Source organism: Homo sapiens, chromosome 1 (genome assembly GCF_000001405.40).
Source record: "Homo sapiens chromosome 1, GRCh38.p14 Primary Assembly".
Taxonomy (NCBI): domain Eukaryota; kingdom Metazoa; phylum Chordata; class Mammalia; order Primates; family Hominidae; genus Homo; species Homo sapiens.
In genome coordinates this window covers 59,104,543-59,109,692 of record NC_000001.11, presented here as the reverse complement: position 1 = coordinate 59,109,692, position 5,150 = coordinate 59,104,543, and the positions used below count along the sequence as shown (strand labels likewise).

Below are 5,150 nucleotides of genomic sequence, written 5' to 3'. Positions count from 1 at the left end.
ATTTACTTTCACAATTATTCGCTCATTTGATTGTTCAGAATGTTTTTCAACTCTGTAAGAATTAGAATTGGATTCCACTGGGAGTAACAGAACACCTAAAATAATGGTAAGCTTCCTTCTCTGTCTCATCCTGTAGGCAGCACAGGCCTAGTATGGCAGCTCCCTGATTGTCAAATCCAGCCTCTTTCTATCTTATTGCTCTGCCCTTCTCAACTCATGGTTTCCATCTCATCACTGAAGATGGCTGTTCAAGCTTTAGTCATATCTGTTTTTCAGACAGCAGCATGGCAGAGGAGGGCTGGGGAAGGGTACCCTCTCCCCTTTAAGGACACTTCCCGGAATTTGTACACTGCAGTTCTGTTTATGTCCCATTAGCCAGATATTGGTCCTTTGTGTTTCTTAGTCCTTTGTCCTCCTCTGTGTTTCAAATTGCCAGGCCTAGGGCTCAGGGAGACTGAGAAATGAGGGCTTTATTGCCACTTGCTGGAATTGAGACCTGCTAATGTGGCAAAGAGAGATCTCCTTGATCTCCCATTTTGAGGACCAGGCAGAGGAAAGTGATTACATTACTGGCAACACCAGCAGACATTTTCTTACCACTGCCTGTGTAGGCCTGTGCCATTATGCTCTGGGGAGCATGGAGAGATATTGAATGCCATATCTACCCTCAAGATGCTTAAATGCTCACAAACTGTAGAATCCCCCAGCTGGAAGGGATTTTAGGGATTGTCTAGTCCAGACCTCTCTCTACTTCATTTACAATGGAGTAGAAGAGAGGTCTGGACTAGATAATCACCTAGTGCAATTATGATGTGCATTTCCAGAGATGGGGGCTACCATCTGAACAACTTTCTCTGTGAGTCAACAGTGGTCATTTCTTACACTGAATGACATGTGCAACCCTGTAACTTCTATGTAGCTGCTCTGGTGTTTTCAGGAAACAGGTCTTGCTTATTCTTTATTCTACAAAATAAAGCATTTGCTATGTGAAGGCAGCTGTCACATCTGTTTGTCCATCTGTCTTCTGCTTTCCCAACCAGTCTCCTCTTTTCTAAAAGGGGTGTTCCATAAGTTTAAGCTCACATACTTTGGAGCTCTTGGGCCTGGCTCTGACACTTACCAGCTGTATGACCTTGAGCAAGTGACTTACCCTCTCTGAGCCTTCATTTCTCCATTTGTAAAATGAAGCTAATATTAATATTACTCACCTCACGACATTATTGTAAGGCTTAAATGAGCTGATGAATGTAAAACACAAAGCCTGACACCAAAGACAGCAGTTATTATCATTACTTATATCTTTATAATTAATAATAATGAAACATCTGGCCCCTCTTCTCTCTTGAGTAACTTGTGATATTAGCTAATAAAGGAAAGCAAACGTTTAACACTTGGGGGGGGGACATTAGCATAAAAGTGCTGCCTACAATTGTGAGGCATACTTTTTGTTCCTTTTACCAGTGCCACTGGATCCCTAATGCTGTTCATAAAAAATCACCTCCTGGGGTCGCCAGTTTGCTGTCTCCATTTGCAAACCGCCTCCTGGGAGGTTCCATCTGTTACAATGGGTATTGGCATTCCTTGGCTAATTTTTTTTTTTTTTCTGGTTAGCAGAAGCAGACAGAACACAAATAAACAAACATATTGGAGAACTCAGATTGTACGGCATAGGGAAAAGAAGTCAGGAGGACTGGGATTCTGAATTCCACCTTACCACCCACTGGCTGGGTGACCAGCGATAAGTTACAGTGCCCCTGTGGGCCTCTTGGATTTTTGAGATCCTGTTCAGCAACAGCATCTTGTGACTAGAGAAAGGATTTGCAATGGCCCGGATTCCCCTGGAATCTCTTTCTTCCCACCTAGGGCTGGTCCAGGTGGGACCAGCATCTGGGCGGAGGCTGGGTACATGCCCAGACAGCCCTGCATGGTCTGTGAGCCAAGCATAGCCTGCCTGCTACTAGGGTGTGATTGTTCTTGTGATTTGGCAATACCCGGCAAACATGTCCCATCGGGGCTGAGCTAAGAATAGGTCCGATGCTTGAGGCCCAGGAAAATCAGCAGCCCAGCACACATGAGGTTGCCCAACAAGGCAGAACCAAGCTGCCACCACCACTTTAGGGGCATGATGACCAAAGAGATGAGGTTTGGCCAATTTTTCCATATGTATCCTCTTTTTTCACCCTCCTCTGGTATCAGGGCCAGTGCCTTCCCACTCTCTTTTCTCCCTCTCTTCTACTTCTGGATAAACTGATTTCTGGAGAGGTACTGAACATGGGCATGGTATAGTGAAAAAAGCCGGTGTTTCGACATAGGGGGCTCAGGTTGAAATCCTGGCTGTACTATTTTCTAGCTGTTTGACCCATGAGCATGAGACCCTTTTGAGGCTCAGTTGCCTCAGTGAAATAGTGGTGTTAATTATCCTTAATTATAAAAAATTTTATGAGTTACTGAAAGCAGTTAGTATCTAGAGCAAGGTTCTCAAAATTTATCATACATGATAATCACTTGAGGAGTGGGGGAAGCTTGTTAAAATAGAGCTAGGCCAGATGCAATGGCTCATGCCTGTAATCCAAGCCTTTGGGAGGCTGGGGCAGGAGGATTGCTTGAGCCCAGGAGTTTGCTACCAGCCTGGGAAACGTAGTGAGACCCAGTTTCTCAAAAAAAAAAAAAAAAAAAAAAAGCTGGGTTTTGTGGTGTGCACCTGCACCTATAGTCCCAGCTACTTGAGAGGCTGAGGTCGGAGGATCGCTTGACCCCAGGAAGTAGAGGCTGCAGTGAGCCATGATCACACCACTGCACTCCAGCCAGGGCAGCAGAGCAAGACCCTGTCTCAAATAATAGTAATAATAATAATAATAATAATAATAATAATAATAATAATAATAAAATAAAATAAATATAAAAAACCAGAGGGCCCCACTGTACTACACCCCCACTTTCTGATTGGGTGGGTTGGAGAGCATGGTCTTCCTAGCACGTCTCCAAAGGATGCTGATGATGCTGGTCCAGCAATCATGGTGAGGAGGAGCACGAGGTTAGAGGTCCAGTATGTGAGCTCTGGGGTCTGACCATGAGAGTTCAACCCTGGGCCCTGCCCCTTCTAGCAGAGTGTCTTTGGGCAAGTTCCTGAACCTTTCTGAACCTTATTTGGAAAATGGGAGAATAATAATTGTTACTTTATAGTGTTGATCTGAAGATTAAGTGAGTTCATTCATACAAAAGCACTTAAAACAGCATCTGGCAAACAGTAAGCTTTGAGTGAACATTAGCTTTTATTAGTATCGCAGAGTCTGCACAGGGTTCAGTACGTGTTCTTTTTCTGCTCTCTCCCTGCAGTTATTGCCAGTTTCGCTTGAATTTCTGTCTCTAGGCCACCTCTCCCAGGGTCTGTGCTCTGACCCTTGCCCTTCTGCATGGAAGGGCAGGCATATATTGGGAGGATCTGGGGCCACCAATGTGCACAGACTGAATGTTAAAGTTTAGAGATCACAGACGAACCTGAAACCCTCAGACAGGAATGGGCTTACCCCAGGGGATCCGTTCTGGAGTAGCAAAACTAGAACTTGACCCAGGTTTTCTGTCTTCCCAGCCAGGACACTTCCCACGACATCATGACCTGAGCCCTGGCTATTCCTGAGAGTGCTTAGGAAACAACCAGCTCCCCACCCTACTCCTACACCATTGCTTGCTTGGCATTTGGGAGGTTTCTCCTTTGATTGTTTGTGCTTGAGGATGACGCAGTGGTAAACATTTAACATCTGACTACAAATAACTATTTTCTTTTGGATTTTTTTTTCCCTTTGGGCTAATGTCCTCAGAATGGAATTACTGGGTCAAAAAGTACAGACAGTGTTATAACTAAAAGAAAACTAGACTTAGCAATTCTCCCAGGGGGAAGAACTCACTGCTCAGAAATCTGAAGGTGGCTGGGATGTTGGTGTCTGAAGCAAGTTAGGGAGTGGAGGGAGAGCCCAGAGCTGAATCTTCAAGTCAGCAGTAGGAGATAACAGTGGCTGGGGGAAGAGAGCCCTGGACTGAGAACAAGATGCCTATAAGCCACTGGTAATTTCCCCAAGAAATGGTGTTTAGACCAATGCCTCTCAAACATTAATGTGCTTAGGAATTCCTTGGGAGATCTTACTAACATTCAGGATAAGATTCAGGAGGTCTGAGGGGGGCAAGATTCTGCATTTCTAACAGTTCTAGATAAGTTTTGGTAATGCTAATTCTGCTGATCAACGGACCACACTTTGGAAAGGCAACGGTTTAGGTTACCATGCTTTTGCTCATGGTATTTCTCTTTCTAACCCACCAGTCCCACCATTTTTCTGACCCAGCTCTGAAGATGTCCCTGGATTTACCTCACCAGGCTGGGCTGGGTACCCCTCTTCTATGGTACCCTGTACCTATGACTATGACAGCACTTACCTTGCTGTACAAAATTGTCTGTCCCTCTCTCTTCCTAGGGCATGGAGCAGTCTTATTCATCACTGTATTCCCAGCATCTAGCACAATGCCTTTTGTGATGTGGGCCTAATTATTATTTATTTATTTATTGAGACAGGGTCTTGCTTTGTTGCCCAGGCTGGAGTGCAGTGGTGTGATCTCAGCTCACTGTAATCTCCACCTCCCGGGTTCAAGCGAGTCTCCCGCCTCAGTCTCTTGAGTAGCTAGGACTACAGGTGTGCACCACCACGCCTGGCTAATTTTTGCATTTTTTAGTAGAGATGAGGTTTCACCATGTTGGCCAAGCTGCTCTTGAACTCCTGAACTCAGGTGATCCGCCTGCCTTGGCTTCCCAAAGTGCTGGAATTACAGGCATGAGCCACTGTGCCTGGCCGCCTAATTATAATTATTACTCTAGTGGGTAAATAGATGGATAGATGGATGGATGAATTAGTAAATAACTATAAGGAGAAGGGAATAGAAAGTGATGGGTTAGGAAAAGCATCATGAGCAACCAAATTTGGCTTCAAGATCACTGTTATCCACTTGGCATTCTTTGAACCATATTCACCTACATATTCACCTACAAAGCCCGGAGTCAGTGACCCTCCTCTGATCCTTGCCAGCTTTTTGCAGGCCCTGAAAAATGTTGACCCTGAACCAAGAGTGAACTCAGATAAATGAATAAGATCCAGGAAGCTTAG

The 5,150-nt window shown here is 44.9% G+C and overlaps 2 annotated features.

The window, feature by feature from the left end:
* Positions 1,456-1,956: an enhancer, noted in NCBI's record as "H3K4me1 hESC enhancer chr1:59573409-59573909 (GRCh37/hg19 assembly coordinates)". NCBI's record gives its function as "activates a minimal SCP1, AML or CMV promoter by ChIP-STARR-seq in naive and primed H9 embryonic stem cells {active_cell/tissue: H9 hESC(naive and primed)}" and the evidence as "EXISTENCE:reporter gene assay evidence [ECO:0000049][PMID:30033119]".
* Positions 1,957-2,457: an enhancer, noted in NCBI's record as "H3K4me1 hESC enhancer chr1:59572908-59573408 (GRCh37/hg19 assembly coordinates)". NCBI's record gives its function as "activates a minimal SCP1, AML or CMV promoter by ChIP-STARR-seq in naive H9 embryonic stem cells {active_cell/tissue: H9 hESC(naive)}" and the evidence as "EXISTENCE:reporter gene assay evidence [ECO:0000049][PMID:30033119]".